The 16,148-nt window shown below is 36.7% G+C and overlaps 1 protein-coding gene across 11 annotated transcripts in view; it reads right to left on the reverse strand.

Moving 5' to 3' along the window:
* The window catches only part of USP6NL (USP6 N-terminal like), a 151,141-nt gene that overhangs the window by 57,238 nt on the left and 77,755 nt on the right, over positions 1 to 16,148 (reverse strand). For 9 of the 11 annotated variants that reach the window (XM_024448263.2, NM_001391961.1, NM_014688.5 and 6 more), the window contains 3 exons: positions 9,753 to 9,820; positions 7,639 to 7,721; positions 788 to 827 (listed from right to left, as the gene is read on the reverse strand). Coding sequence is in view for 10 of the 11 variants with exons in the window: in NM_001391961.1 (NP_001378890.1) it covers positions 788 to 827; positions 7,639 to 7,721; positions 9,753 to 9,820 (191 nt within the window). In the remaining variant the exon portion in view is untranslated. Of the gene's footprint in view, positions 1 to 787; positions 828 to 7,638; positions 7,722 to 9,752; positions 9,821 to 14,430; positions 14,681 to 16,148 lie in introns of those variants that run through there. The other 2 variants (NM_001080491.5, NM_001391960.1) reach the window with 2 other exon arrangements.

Consider the following 16,148-nt stretch of genomic DNA (forward strand, 5'->3'; position numbering starts at 1 on the left):
CTAAAATATTTTTCAAATTCCAATTCCAATTTCACCTTCATTACCTGAAATTCAGCCCCTTGTCCTCATCAAACATACATGAACTGATAATAATCCCAGTCAATACCCCCACTTTCATTCTACAGTTCATTTTCTGGTACAGAAACAGTGGGGAGGAAAAGGGAGATTTCGGACAACCTTAAAACATTCCGTCACTACTTCAAACGCATGCCTGGGTGTGGAGCCAGTTCCTTGCTATGTATAACGAGGAAAGATTTTTAAATGTTGACAAGTTTACTATGTAACACTTCTCTAAGTACTTAAAATACTAAAATACTGACCCACAGAAAACGATTTTGGTTGTTGTAAGAAATTTACTAAAATCTCCTGGAACAGTCACATTTCAAAGAACTGCTGGTCTTAGAATGGTGCTTTATTTGCCACAGGGTACATGAGAATCACTTGTGAAGCCTTTAAAAATTACCTACCCAGAGAGGCTGATTTCACAGACTGAGGTGGGAGCTGGGCAGCTGTGCTCTCAAAGCCTCTCTGTTCTGAAGCACGCCTAGCTCAGGACCTGCCAGTCTAGAATGAAGTCTGCCAACTACCTATCAGAATCTCCTAAAATCTCCTAATATTATTTCACCATTAACTATTATCTTACAGTGGCATAATGAGGTCCAAAATCTAACAATGACTGTACCATTCCCATATAATATGGCACTTAAAATCACAAAGGTGGTCAATTTTATTCTTCTAATAAAGGCAATTCACCAGTAACTGTAAATACATCAAGAGCAGGACTTACCCGTTCCACAGCCACATTATGATCTGGGAGCTCCTCCTCACTGCAGAGGAAAAACAGTATTATATGAAATTGTTGAAATCAAAACAAACTTTTAAAAGCTTATATACTTATAGATACATATGACATACAATATTTATTTGTCATCACAAGAGTTACATAGGCTTCCATTCATTGAATTCAATATGAAATGATAGCTACTCTAGAACCACAGGGCCACCTATCTTCAAAATCCAGCCCTGCACTGTCACCAGTAGCCACAAGCCACATTTATTAATAAAAAGCATCTAATTAACATTAAAATTTAATTTAGTTTAACACTGAGTTAGTCTCACTAGGCACAGTTCAAGTGCATGAATGTCACGTAGCTAGAAGCCACCATATTGAACGGTACAGATATAGAACATTTCCATCACTGCAGAAAGGTCCACTGGACAGCACTGCTCCAGACTAGGAGTGAGCAAACTTCTTCTCGCAAGATAAATATTTAAACGGTAAGTATTTGAGACTTTCTGGGCCATACCGTCTTTTTCACAACGATAGCTCTGATGTTGTAGTACAAAAGCAACCACAGACACTACGTAAATCAAGTGTGGCTCTGTTCCCACGAAACTTTTACAAAAATAGGTGGTGAGCTGGATCTGCTCCACAGGCCCCAGCTTGCCACCCTCTGCTTTAGACCACCACCTCCACTCTTGGTTCAAACTATGGTCTATAATCAATGATTGTTTAAAAAAATAGCATAAGGAAAAAACTGCCTCCAACAGACTTGTGAATTTAAAGAGAAAACTTTATTCAGTACAACAAAGAATGCTTGGCTGGGTGCGGTGGCTCACGCCTGTAATCCCAACACTTTGGGAGGCTGAGGCAGGTGGATCACCTGAGGTCAGGAGTTGAAGACCAGACTGCCCAACATGGTGAAACCCTGTCCCTGCTAAAAACACAAAAATTAAACAGGTATGTTGGCAGGTGCCTGTAATCCCAGCAACCTGGGAGGCTGACACAGGAGAATCGCTTGAACCCGGGAGGTGGAGGTTGCAGTGAGCTGAGACCGCGCCATTGCACTCCACCCTGGGCAAGAAGAGCAAAATTCCATCTCAAAATAAACAAATAAATAAATAAATAAATAAGAATGCTTCACTGTCAAAATTTCAAGAGATTATTTTTTAAATATACACTAAAAGATCAAGTTCATTTCTGACACAGTATATTTGTGATATCATCTCTAATATAAAATATTCTGAGATTCTTGTATTAACTGTCAGTAATATAAAAACCACATGCTATCCATAAACAAAGTTATGCACTTTGAGTAGCTTTCTCAGTAGTACTGTTTTGGCAACACTATGTTTATATTCTTGCCTTAGTTTCTCTTGAGATCAAATAATATATCATCTTGAAGAGCATGATAGAGCGGTATTCACCAGTACGGTATTTTCAAAGGCACTCTTTTTCTACTCTGAGGAGTCCTTAGGTGAACAATTACTACAGCCACAAAACTAACACAAAAGAATAACCGCCAAAAGAGATCTTAGAGTCCAAATCTCTCATTTCACAGATAATACAACTAACATTTTCACTTAGTCGAGAGACTTTTAGCACTAATTCAGTGGGTTCAACTTCATACAGACAAGATCTCAGATCATGCAGGAGTATATGAAGAAAAGGGACGGAGGCTGAGAAAACGATTCTCAAGAAGAAACGAAACTGGTTACAAATAAAAAAGTCTTCAGACCTCATAGATGGATGATAGAGTAAATATGTGGTCCAGCTTTCCTATACAGATGTTCTGGCATGATTTCTCCATATCTAAAACTTTTCATGGAGAATCTGCTGTGTGCATACCAATCTCCACAGAGCTTTTCCCCCTCAAGTCTCTGTGCCGGCATATGCTTAAATTTCACACCCTTCCGAGGATGACACTGCTGCTGCTTACCAAGAGCTCCCTGTAATGCCCAGAATACGTAAGTTGGCATGCTGGAAGAGCTCAGTAAACGGTGCTGAATGAAGATATGAACAGGAGGATGAACACATGCCTGCAGGCATGGATGCATCCTTACCTTGCCTCCTAAATATCCTTCAAGTGGAGGAGAAGAAAGAAGGACCACAATCTGGGTGAATGCAGAGAATTCCTTTAGGTCAGCAAACTATGGTGCATAGGCCAAATCTGGCCCACTGTGCATTTTTGTAACGTTTTAATGGAACGCTGTCACACTCTGCCATGAATGTATTGTCTCTGGTTGTTTTCATGCTGCAACAGCAGGGTTAAGCAGTTGTGACAAAGACCGTATGACCTACAAAGCCAAAGATCCTTCATATCTGGCTCTTTAGAGAAAATGTTTGCCAAACCCTGCTTTAGAGAACAAGGGCTTAAGAGCACCTAAAGGCTGCTTTAAGAAAACACCAAGCTGATAGCAAGTACCTATATCTCACAGAAATACAGTAAGGGAAAACCATAAGACAGCCATCTCTGGAAAGAGAGAGACCTTAACTGGATACATTGTTCATCTACTCTTAAACTTTGAAAGTATTACTAATCGGAGTTTATGTGCCTATAACCTCTCAACAGCTAGGTGGAGTATTTATGTTAACTATAAGATGAACTTTCATTTGGAAACTTAAAAGTTAACTTGTTAAAATTAATAAGTTGACTATATTGACTAAATTTTATTTTTGTTTTTAAAGTAAATTTTATCTAAGTTTAAATTTAAGCCAGTCAAAATTTATAGGATTGGTAGAAAGAGTTCTCAAGCCTTTGTAATCAAAATTATATATATAATATTTTTATTATATATAAAATATATATTATATATTATTATATTATATACATATATATTATTTATATATTTTTTTTTAAATTTTTTTTTTAGACAGAGTCTTGCTCTGTCACCCAGGCTGGAGTGCAACGGTGCGATCTCCGCTCACCGTAACCTCCATCTCCTGGGTTCAAGCGATTCTCCTGCCTCAGCCTTCCAAGTAGCTGGGATTATAGGAGCGCGCCACCACGCCTGGCTAATTTTTTGTATTTTTAGTAGAGATGGGGTTTCACCATGTTGGCCAGGCTGGTCTTGAACTCCTCATCTCGTGATCCGCCCGCCTGGGCCTCCCAAAGTGCTGGGATTACAGGCGTAAGCCACCGCGCCCGGCCAATGATACTCTTTAAAAACAAACCCACCTTTATTCTGCATATCATATACAGTCATTTTATACAGTCACAGTAAACTACAGAGAGTCTGCTTTTATAAATATACACATTTTGATAAGTAGCTGAAAATCTGAAGCTTGGTATTAATTTTATCTTATTTCTGGTATGACTTCCTTCTAATTCTTCTATTAATAACTTGTGACCTAAATACATTATCTATCATTATCCAAATACCAAACATTCTTTGTTAAGTAGACTAGCAGTGACTATTTTTGATTAAAATGTTAAAGTTCTCCAACTTCTTCCTTAAACAAGCTCTGTTTCTCTATTCTCCAGCTTTAACTCCATCATGGCACACACTGGGGAGAATGCCTCACTGCTGAGTACTAAACAAAGAGGTTGCTCATCTGGCAGAGCTCAGTTGGTTTGGCAACAGCTTTCATATTTATTGTGTAATCTATTCCAAAACCAAGTTGTTCTATATTTGTTAATTACTGTCACTCCACATATAATAACAGGTAATTTAAGTTTCTAAAACTGTAATTAGATATAAACTCAGGCAACAAAGGTTGCAAAGTTATTTTTGCCATTTTATTGTATTAACATTGACACTTAAAACCCAATTTCATTGCAGAATGAATCAAAAATTACAAAGAACTAAGACAGTAGAAAAAAATGCTCTTTTGATCAAGGTGTGACAGGGAATAATATCTACATGCTTACACCAAATGATTTTATTCAATAGCGCATAAAACTCCGGTCTGTGGTGACAAGCAATAAAAACCACTAGTAACAATGTCTGGAGAAAATGTTTTACTTAAACTACTCATTGTACTAAAAATCACTGATTTTGGTGAAATTTAATAAGGCTTGACATTACCCTAATATCCATTTCTATGCTTCATTATGTTCATCTGTGTTGTCTGTTTTAGGACCACATCATGGAGTAAATAAAATTAGTGTGATAAAAAGTATGAGAATGAGTACCAATCTACTTTATTTTTTAAAAAGCGGTGAGCTTAGCTATCTTAGTACGTATCTCAATAGCAGTGTTCATTTCAAACAGTATCCTTCTCTTTAGGTCCTCGTTTTCCCCCTTTAAATTTCTTTCTAGGCATTTCAAAGCACTTGTTCTGTATTTCTCTTATTTAAAATACAAGAAAGCAGCAACAGGCAGCATACTGTAGCAGTTCAGAATGCAAGTTCTGCAGGAAGACTGCCAAGGTCCACACCCTAGAGCTGACGCTCACTGTCAATACAACATCGGCAAGTTACTTGACCTCTGTGCTTCGGTTTCATCGCCTAAAAAGAGGAAGACAAAAACAGTACCTACCCCAAAGAGCTTTTCAGGGGAATAACTGAGTTATTCCATGTAAAGAGCACAGAACAGTGCTCAGCACACAGTAAGTGCACAATAAATATTTGCACTTTTTCCCCACTAGAGCCAAATGGACCTTAGCACAGACAGTGAAAACATAAATACAAAAGAACTGATTGCAATATTCAGATTGCCAAATACAGACTAGGCTCCTGGGTCAGAATCACTTATTTCATGGCTGTAATAGTTCAAACATGGTTTTATACCTAGAAATGCTTCTCAATAGACAAGAGTCAGAGAGACTGGATGCTTTCACTGGGGAATGTCTTCCCACCCAACTATCACAAGTGTGGAAAAATCACTGGATCCACATTTGCAGGCATATTTCATGAAATTTAGCTGGCACCTATATTCATTATTTTACAATTTCAGTTTTGTATACCTTTCAGATTTGTGAATGTAGTTTTTTCTTAAAATTCATTTTAACTTGATGGTATGTTTTCAATTCCCCCAAATTAATGGACTGTGTATGTGTGATCACAAGGGTGTGTTTAAATGTTAATAATGTATTTGTGCACTTAAAATTTTACATTGGAATCCATAATGCTAAAAAGCCAAATACAGCATTTGCCAGTTTAAAAAAAAGTACCTCTTGTTTCTAGGGCCCCGCTCATGTTGTTTTAAGCAATAAGAAAAGAAAATTTAGGTAATTAATAGATCCATTTTGGAATGCACAGGTTTCCCTATGTATTTTATACCATATTTGGACCATCTTATGATTTAAAAAATAAAAATAAAAAATCTGGTACAGTGGTTCATTCCCACCAGAAACACTTGGGAAGGTCAAAATCAGCTGAGGTGCCTCCTATCTTTTGAATCAAAATCTAGGAAAGACATGGAAATCTATTTAAACAGTTTCCCAGCTGATTCTAATGTGCAGGCAAGTTTGGAACCCACTGGTGTTAACAGTCTTAATGGTTAAATTGTCCTTCATACCCCAGATCTGCACACTAACCCACACAAATATGCAATCATTTCTTGTCACGTGCGTAGCCAAGTTTGATTTTTTAAAAAAGTAGGGGTGGAAGTTTAATTTAAAAACAGTATTTCCATCATAGTTAAATATTGCTGTTATTCTAGTGAAGTTCAAAGGCTTCTGATTATAGAGGTGGGAGGATTGCTTAAGGCCAGGAGTTTGAGAAACAGGGCAAAACCTGTCTCGACAAAAACAAAACAGTCTTCTGATTATAACTACTCAGAAGAACATTTCAGATAGCTAATGTCATTAGGTATAATAACACTTAATATTTGTCCAGAACTTTATAAAGTATTCTTATATTTTACTTTTTCAAAGCCTCAAATACACCTGAAGATACATAAAAAAAGTATGTAAACTAATTCCTGTTTTAAAAATGAAGCACAAAATGGCTACATGACCAGAGAACAGCAAAGCCACAAGAAGAGCACATATTCTCCAGCTCTGGGAACTGTTTCTGTCTGTTGGTTGGTTGGTTTTACTCTCAGAAAAACATAATACAGCAAAATAAATTCTAGACTCAGAAAAAAAGAAAAGGAGAAAATAAGGTCAGAGGACTGTACATTACTGTGAACTATACAAAAAACGAATGTTTTTCCTTCAAAATTTAATCATGTATTATAAAATAAAAAGTCCTGGCTTTTTTTCCTATTTATAATAAATGAAATTGGAAAAGAGCACAGTTGAATGAAAATTTAGTTAATCCTTAAATTGCATGGAACTAAAGTATAAAGATGAATAGAAGTCTCTAGCCTGTAGGAAACCGATTAAACAATACCAGAACCAGAACAGACAGATTCATATCATGTGAAGGATGTTTTTAAGGATCCAAATTATTTTAACTGCTTTACTTTATGTGATCTAGACCTCTCTCTTTATATAACATATTCAGGATGAATGGAATTAATTTTGAGAAGCAATATTATGAATACATTTATAACTATAAGGAAGATGAATGGCATTTCTTTACAAGGCTAATTTTCAGGCTGCATAACACTAAAGTTCGAATTGCTATTTATTTTTAAAATGCGCTGGTACAGAATGAAATGTTTTATAATTATTTTTAAAATACAAATTATCCATTTGCATTTAACTCTGTTGATTTATTAATATAACTCACCTACTGCACTTAATGTTCTTACTAAATTGCAAAAAATATTAAAAATTATATCTTAAACAGTTAAATTTTAATCACAGAGTTGTTAAAAGAAACCTAGGAATTTAGTATCAAAACGCATATTGTAAGACTATTCCTTATTCACAGCAATTATATTAAAAATAAAGAAAATCAATATAATAGGTGACCACAGAAACGTTATAATCTAAAAAGCAAGCTTTCAATCTATGTGACTTACTGTAAAAAGCCAAATCTATCTGTGACTTTGTAAACAAGGTAATCAGCATCTTCCCAAGGTTCAATCTCTGCACCTTCTCGTCCCTAAAATAAGGCACAAAAAAAGGTGTTAATCAGAGTTTATAAAACTGAATAATTTTTTAAAATAAAAGGACGAAGAAATAAGAGCTATTTTTAATGTATTACTAAAAATAAGAGCTGGAAGTGAGGCATTATGAGCCTTAACATTTTTTTTTCCCCTTTAAACCCAACTATTTTTGGCAAGATAAACACTATTTCCTAGTTATGACTCTGGAAGATGCTGTGTGTCAGCAGCAGCTGACGCGGAGCTGAGCCAGGATCAGGCCAGGGTTCCTTGGGGAAGCTAATGAGGAAAGAAGAGCGATGGGGATGAGAAAGCCACTCCAGAAGAAACTGCCGAACCTTACAGTTCTAGACCAAACACGTCTCAGAGAAAGAGATTTTTCTTTTTTGCCTTTTTATGCAAACTCCTTAGAGAAGCAGGCAGAGAAGCTCCTCGTCTAGTTCTTTACTTCACAGCTATGCCAGCCTGAAACTACTCTTGCCAAAGTCAAAAATGACCTTCCAGCAGTCAGACCTGCTGCACGCTCTTCAGGCCTCATCTAACGGATCTCTGAAGCGTACTTGTCAGTGTCGCTCACTCCCTCTTCCCAACTCCTGTGACGTTGTCCTCTCATGGTCTCCTCATGCTCCATCAACTCTTCTAATGGCTTTTTCATGGGTAACTCGTCATTGATGGTGTGCCCAAAGTTCGGTCCACAGCCCGCTGCTCTTCTTAATCTAGGTATCATTTACTCTTAGGCTATTAACTAACACTGATCAGTGAAGAAACCCCAAATATAACTATCTATATCAATCCCTCAAATTTTAGACTCAAACTCCCAACTGTCTTGTGGACACCTCCATCTGTCTGCTTGTGTGTTCTCCTCTCAGTACACTGGGAGCATCCTGTAGGCAAGGGCTGCTGCCACTCCTGTCTATGAATCCCCAAGGCCCAGCACGATGCCTGGACTGTGTTAATTGTGTGGGGAAAAAAATGCACACAAGCAGGAATGAATGAGAGTGACACTGGTTTTAAATTAGTGAAGCAGTTAAATAAGTTAACTGAGTTTTTCATGGACTACAATAAAACCTCATCACAATGAAGGAAACTGTGTTTGATGTTCCAAAAATGAACTCTGGGAACATAACTGCTAAGCTGAGCATCACCTGTATGCCTCATGGAAGCAGGACACAGTGCAGGTGACTTTCTATGATTTAATCTCCTGTTATCCTCACAAATAATCAGAAGGAACAGATACATAATTACAAGCAAGTGATGCAAATACAAAACATGACATTTATAAATCACTGCTAGGACTCATTATAGACCTCAGGAGGTAAGGTATAAAGAGGTATGTCAATTGTCAATAATTGTGATTTTCTATAATATCAAAAAACAGATTCCATACCAACATAAGGATAAAACGTTAATGGAAATTATACACACTTGTATAAATTCAAAATCTAAGATCCATGGTAAATTTATAATAGCAGATGTAAATTATGAACGCAACGGATATGTAATTCCATATACTTAACTTAGTCAAGTATTTATTGAGTGCCTAGTGTGAATCAGGTAATGTCCTAGGCATTTAGGATACAAAAGTAAATCAAACAAAAGAAATTCCTGCCTAGAATGTAGAGTCTCGGCAGGTGTACAGAGTGCTGAGGGTAGAATCAGGGGCATTAAACAGGGAGGTGGGAGGTCAGAGAAGATCTCAGTAAGACGATAGCATCTGGGCAAAGATCTGAAAGATGTGAGGCAATGAGGCATGAGAATATCTGGGACACAAGTGTCCCAGGTAGAGGAAACAGCCAGTGCAAAGGCCCTGAGGCAGGAGCAAGTCTGGTGTGCTGGAGGAATAGCAACCGACTGAAGTGGAGAAAAGGATGAAGAAAGACAGGAGATGAAGTCAGCGAAGATGATCTCTATGTCCCCATGAAGTTAAACAAACTGCTTCTGGAATGTAAGCCCTCCAAAAAGCAAATCCATTTCTATTTATATGGTTTTTCTAATAAAACTCACCCAAAGTGTTAAATATGGATACTTACTCTGTCATATTTAGCAACTATTTCAGCTCGCTCCTGGGCAAGTTTGAGTGCTACATCCTGGTCTGAATCTGTGGAGAAGACATCAAATTTAGATGAATTGTCATTGAAAGAATCGTAAAGTTAATTAATTATGAAACTAAGACATAATAAAACAAAAAATAAATACTGCCTAAAATGACAAATCAACAAAATCAAATAAAAGGATGAGTTAAGTATTTGTAACTACAACTTTGTAATAGCAATACATGTAATATTCAATAAAAAAGCAAGTTCATTAAGGCATAAACTTAGGACATGATAAATCTTATCCTTCATGAATCAATTTCGGATCTAAAATTTCACAGAAATTGATGTTAAGTAGAAACTGAAACTGAAAGCTCTAAGTTTTCAGATGAAGCCCACTTGGGTAGAAGAGACAAACATTCAAAACGGCTTTTAAAAAGTAAAGGAACTTGGATCTCCACAAAATAAACTAGCACAAGATACAATATTTATTTTACATGATACAAATATGTCTTTGTTTAGCCTTTTAGTTCCCTTTATCAACAGCCTCAACTGCTATAACAATCTCCTAACCGGTCTCTAGGACTCCAGTTTTATCATACATATGTGTGTGGACACACACACAGACACACACACACACACACACACACACACACACCCTTCATCCTTATTAACATTAGGAGACTTTCAAAAACATAAATCTGACAACAAAAGTCGAGATCATAACATGAAATAGTATGAATATATACCATAAGTTTTTTTAAAAGATCAATAACAGACTATATAAAAGGCTTCTCTTACCAAAAAAAAAAAGCATTCTAAGAGAAAACTAGGCAAAGGTTATGAGCAAGAAATTCCTAAAAGTAGCAACAGCAGTAACAACTGTAACAACTATACTGCATTCTTATTAAGTGCCTGGCAGATAGTAAGATACTGCCAGGCAGCAAATACTGTGCTAATAAGCACTTTACCCTGCCTTACCACATGACACTCTAAGGTAGGCATCATTATGAATCCTACACCGCGATAAAAAAGAGGCTTAGAGATTTTACGCAACTTGTCCACAGGCATAAAGCTAATAAACAGCAAAGACAGTTTTCAAATCCAGACAGTCTTGACTCCACAGCCCACAATTTTAATTACTATTTTATAAAAATGATGACTAAAGACATGAAAAAGGACTTCCAGTTACCGATGGCAGATGGAACATATGCTTTTACCTCCATTTCCCCTAAAACCCCACTAAAATAGCAACTATAGGGATTCTTGAAATCCCCTCCTCAAAGCAAATGGTGGTTCCTAAGGAGAGGTGGGGTTAAAAACAAGGGAGCTGAGTAAAGGAAGTCAAATCCCTGAAAGTTGAAGGGACATGCATGTGTGTAGCAGAGCCGGGTGCAGGGTGGAAAACCAAACCCTCATTCTCCAAAGCAGGAAACCAATAGAAATGCCAAAAACGGAAGATGCATGAAGCAGCAATACTGGCATGTTACCTAGCGCAATGGAGGCACACAGGAAAAGAATCAGCCAGGGCAGTGGAGAGTGCTTACTTCTATGGAGCAGGCAGTGAAAAATACAGGAGTCTGCTATTTTCAAAATAAGACTTACAGATTGCTGAATCTTTAAGCCAAATATAGGTCTGATAAAAATAAAATCTAAAATGAAAAACCAAGACATAGAAAAAAAAAATCAACTTCATTAGTAACTAAAGAAATCCAAGTTTCAAAATATCACTTTGCACCTATTCAGACTAACCAAAAAATGCACTGATAATACTCAATGTTGACAACAATGGTGACATTGCAGTTCCTTATAATGAAGATAAACATATAAATGTATAAAATCTTTCTGGAAAGTAATTTGATAATATGTGTAAAAAAATCTGAAAACAGACATATCCTTACCCAGCACTACTGCTTCTACAGATTTATGCCAATGAGATCATCAAACAAGCGCAAGGTTGTTTATAATAGTAAAAACAACAGAGTGGGAAGTTGTAAATTTGTAAAAGCTTATTTGGGAAAAAAATGTTTGTGTTACTGCTTTTCCCAGTTAAACTACAAAATGTGAATATGCTTTCCTTTGGGGGATGTGTGAATAACTAAACAGAATGATTCAATAAAATAAAAATACAGATGAGTTGTTCAGATTTTCACCATGAATTAATGCAAACAGAAGTCTGAGATAATCAACTCAATGATATACATATTCACTACCCTATTTTAGACTTACAAGCCTTTGTCAGTTCCTTTTTCCCTCTTCTGCTGTCCAATTTTAAAACATGATACACATCTACCAAAGCATAGGGAAAGCAAATTAATAGGAATTAAAATCAAGCTGGGTGTGGTGGCTCACTCCTGTAATCCCATGGCAGGCAGATCACTTGAGGCCAGGAGTTTGAGACCAGCCTGGCCAACATGGTGAAACCTAGTCTCTACTAAAAATACAAAAATTAGCTGGGCATAGTGGTGCTTGCCTGTGGTCCCAGCTTAGTCGGGAGGCTGAAGCAGGAGAATCGCTTGAGGCCGGGAGGCAGAGGTTGCAGTGAGCTGAGATCGTGCCACTGCACTCCAGCCTGGGTGACAGAGTAAGACCCTGTCTCAAAAAAAAAAAAAAAAAAAAAAAGAAATTAAATTCAAATTAAGAGAATCTGACTACTTATGAAACTCCATTTCTATTATCAGAACTGCAAAACATGAATTTCTTTAGTAATCAGGCCAAATTCAATAGATGAATGCTTTATTGGAATGTCTTTTATACCAGTCCCTTAATCCTGCTACCAGTCCTAGGCATCACAAGTATACTTCCAACATAACAATGGAAAGTTTAAAAGTGTAAAGGCAAGGACTGGGGTTGAGAGGTGAAGACGCAACATATCCCAAGAAAATGTCATTGTGGCAAACTATAAAATATAAAGCTTTACATAGATCACTGTCGGTCTATAGAGACTTCCAGAAATACTGGACTTCTTATTGGAATTGGATGAAATTGCATCCTGATTTTTTGGGAGAAGTATGATGTACTTTAAAGTGATCAGAACAGTTAACTCTAAATCAAATAAATAAATTCTCAATCTTTAAACTCCCTTAGAAATGTCTTATCCCTGAGTTACCCCATGGGGAGAAAATTTTATAGTATTAATGTATGTATTCTAAAAGCAGAGTGAATTTAAAGCTAAATGCATTTTAGAAAATATAGCCAAATCTGTTTCTCTGAGGAAACTAAATGAAAATGTTAATCTTTGCCAATATTCAGTTTAGAGACATTATTTTAAAATCTGCATTGCAAGGCAAACAGTAAGAAGCAGGAGCCTTATGTAGGGTTTGCTATAGTTAAATTATGGCTCATACTATCTGGTCTGAAGTTTATTAAGAATTACACTAGAATACTTCCTTTGGTTTCATTCTGATTACTTATTTAGAAATTCTGTTGAAAGAACCAACCGTGTGCCCCAAAACAGTGACTGCAAACGATTATCAACAGCTGTCTTGTGTCTGTGTGCACATGTGAACAAAGTTCCAGGCACCTATAAACAACGGCAGCTGTGTTGGTTGGTACTTATGTCACATCATTATCAAATAAAAATTTAATCAGGACATTATCCCAAAAATTCACACCGCATGTTTATGCTCTCGTTGCATGACAAATCCATAAATAAAAGTTTATTTGGAAAAATGTGGTTTGAAATACAATACCACTTGTTGCCAAAATATTACAGTAATTAAAGAGTAATCAGTGTTAAAATAATTGTAGCTGAAGAAAAAGTTCCTATTATTAAAAATAAAACCATGTGCAGAAATATGTAGATCAACTACTTTATTTTTTTTCTTTTTTTCTTTTTGAGACCGAGTCTCACTCTGTTGCCCAGGCTGGAGTGCAGTGGTATGATCTCAGCTCACTGCAACCTCCACCTCCCAGGTTCAAGCAACTCTCCTGCCTCAGCCTCCGGAGTAGCTGGGACTACAGGTGTGAGCCACCCGCCTAATTTTTGTATTTTTAGTAGAGATGAGGTTTCACCATGTTGGCCAGGCTGGTCTCAAGCTCTTGACCTCAGGTGATCCACCCACCTCAGCCTCCCAAAGTGCTGAGATTACAGGAGTGAGCCACCGCACCCGCTTAGATTAACTACTTTAAATATCAGTCCTCTCATTTCACCAGGATGTTTGTTTAAAAAAAAAAAAAAAACTACATTATCCAAGCCAAATTAAATCAAATTATTTTTATGATTTTTTTTATCTAATGTAACAAAGTTTCAAAGTAAAAGAGGCATATTTTAAGCAATAAGGATCAGAAGATATTTGGATACTCAAGTGTGTAGGAAATACTCAAGTATACAGGAAAATATCTCAGCACAATTTATAGAAGAAAATGACAACTCCACATTTTTAAGAAGCATTTTAAAAATTGACAACTATACAATTCTAAGATGACCTGTTTTTCCATTTAATCTGCCAAGAACTTCTAAGAATCCAGTACCCTCCTGAATTATATGCTTTAAAAGCAGGTATTGTATCTTAATGTCACTAAATTAGCACCAAACTGCAATGAAAAATTCATACAAAGTTACTAAGGTTCATTTCCAATAAAATAAAATTTACAGCAGACCATTTTTCCTAGAGTACATTTTGACAGATGAACGTTAAAAATATAAACAACATCAATTTTAAAAGTACTTTACCCTTTGTGAGATAATCAGTCTGGCCTTGGGAATTAACAACAGCTTCAGTCCTCATAGAGTAACTTATCTATTCCAAGATTTCATTATTATTTTATAGTTCTCGAACACACCAAGAGTGCTGCCCGGCGGTACCTCACACATTCTGCAACTAACTAAAACAAAGAAAGGCAGAGGCAGCTCTACTTTAAACTATCTGTGAAACAAGCACAAGAAGAAAAAGTTTGAGATGCACTCTGTCTTCTTCTAAGGGAGAAAAAAACCTTGCTGTGGTTACACAGACTATATATTTTCAAACAAAGCTGATCATTGTTGAGGGTGAAAACACGGCTTTCAGGCTACATCCCAACTATGAGGCACACCAGCCTACACCAGCATTCCATCCGCTAACAAACAGCGGCTTGAAAGAAGCAGCTTCATAATGTGCCTTCATCTTGTGTCTCGATATTAGCCACTTTCTTATTTCTTATTAAAAATAAAACTTGTCACAGAGCAACAAAAAAATTTTTATTTAAAACATTAAAGCTAACCAGAAATGCTCCTCTCCTCAAATACATTTTATATCTTAATGTAATTTTTAATAATAATTCTTAATGTGAAAATTGTAGCCTCTGTTTCAGCCCGTTTCAGACAGGAAGCAAAATACATGCTAAAGTAGTGGTTTTGGACGTTTTTAACAAACCACACACACATACAAGTAAAACAAATGTCTCATGAAACAATATGTACTACAAGTACTGTAAGATGGCACTACAAATTTTTCCATTCTGTTTTATTTACTCCTTCCTTCTTCCCTTCATTGTTTCTCCCTTTCTCTTAAATGGGTAAAATCTACAATTTGCAACCATTTTGCAAAAGTAACATCCCTGTTAGAGGCATGCCTATGGACATTAATTACACTTAACTGGACACTAATAAATTAAGTTTACGCTCAGCTTAAGCCAGGTGTAACATTCAACTAAAGCAAAAGATCTCAGAAGTTGAGAGGGGGAAAATTTCTCAAGCCATATACCAAGGAATAAGAATTAGACTGGTGCCAAAGTTCTAATCAGCTAGAAGATAATGAAACACTATTTCCAAAGTTAAGAGCAAAAAATTATCATGAACTTGGAATTCTATACCAACCTGAGGAAAAATAAAAAGATTTTTAGATATTACAAGGTGTGGTAAGCTGAAGACTGACCTTCTGCCCTGCCAGGGATGTCCACATCCTAACCCCTGGAATCTGTAAATGTTGCCTCATAATTGCAAAAGTGATTACAGATGTAATTCAGCTAAGGATCTTGAGTTCAGAGATTGCCCTGCATCATGCAAGTGGGTCCAGTGTGGTCACAAGAATCCTTCTGAACAGGAAGCAAGAAGATTAAAGGAAGGAGGAGGCAGTGTGATGGTGGAAGCAAGACATCACCAGCTAAGGAAAGCAGGCAGCCTTTAGAGCAAGAAAAGGCAAGGAAATGGATTTTCCCCTAGTGGCTCCAGAAGGAACCAGCCCTGCTGACTCTGGCCCAGAGAAACTTGATTTCAGACTTCTGACCTCCAGAACCCATTAAATGATACATCTGTGTTGTTTAAGCCACCAAGTTTGTGGTAAGTCATGTGCTGTTACAGCAGCATGAAAACACAGGATTCAAAGTTTACTGCCTATGAAATGTCTCTTTGAAAAAAGAATTTGAGAGTATACTACAGAAAAACAAAACAGCAACAGGAAGAACTGACAAAGA

Source organism: Homo sapiens, chromosome 10 (assembly GCF_000001405.40).
Source record: "Homo sapiens chromosome 10, GRCh38.p14 Primary Assembly".
NCBI classification, from domain to species: Eukaryota; Metazoa; Chordata; class Mammalia; order Primates; family Hominidae; genus Homo; species Homo sapiens.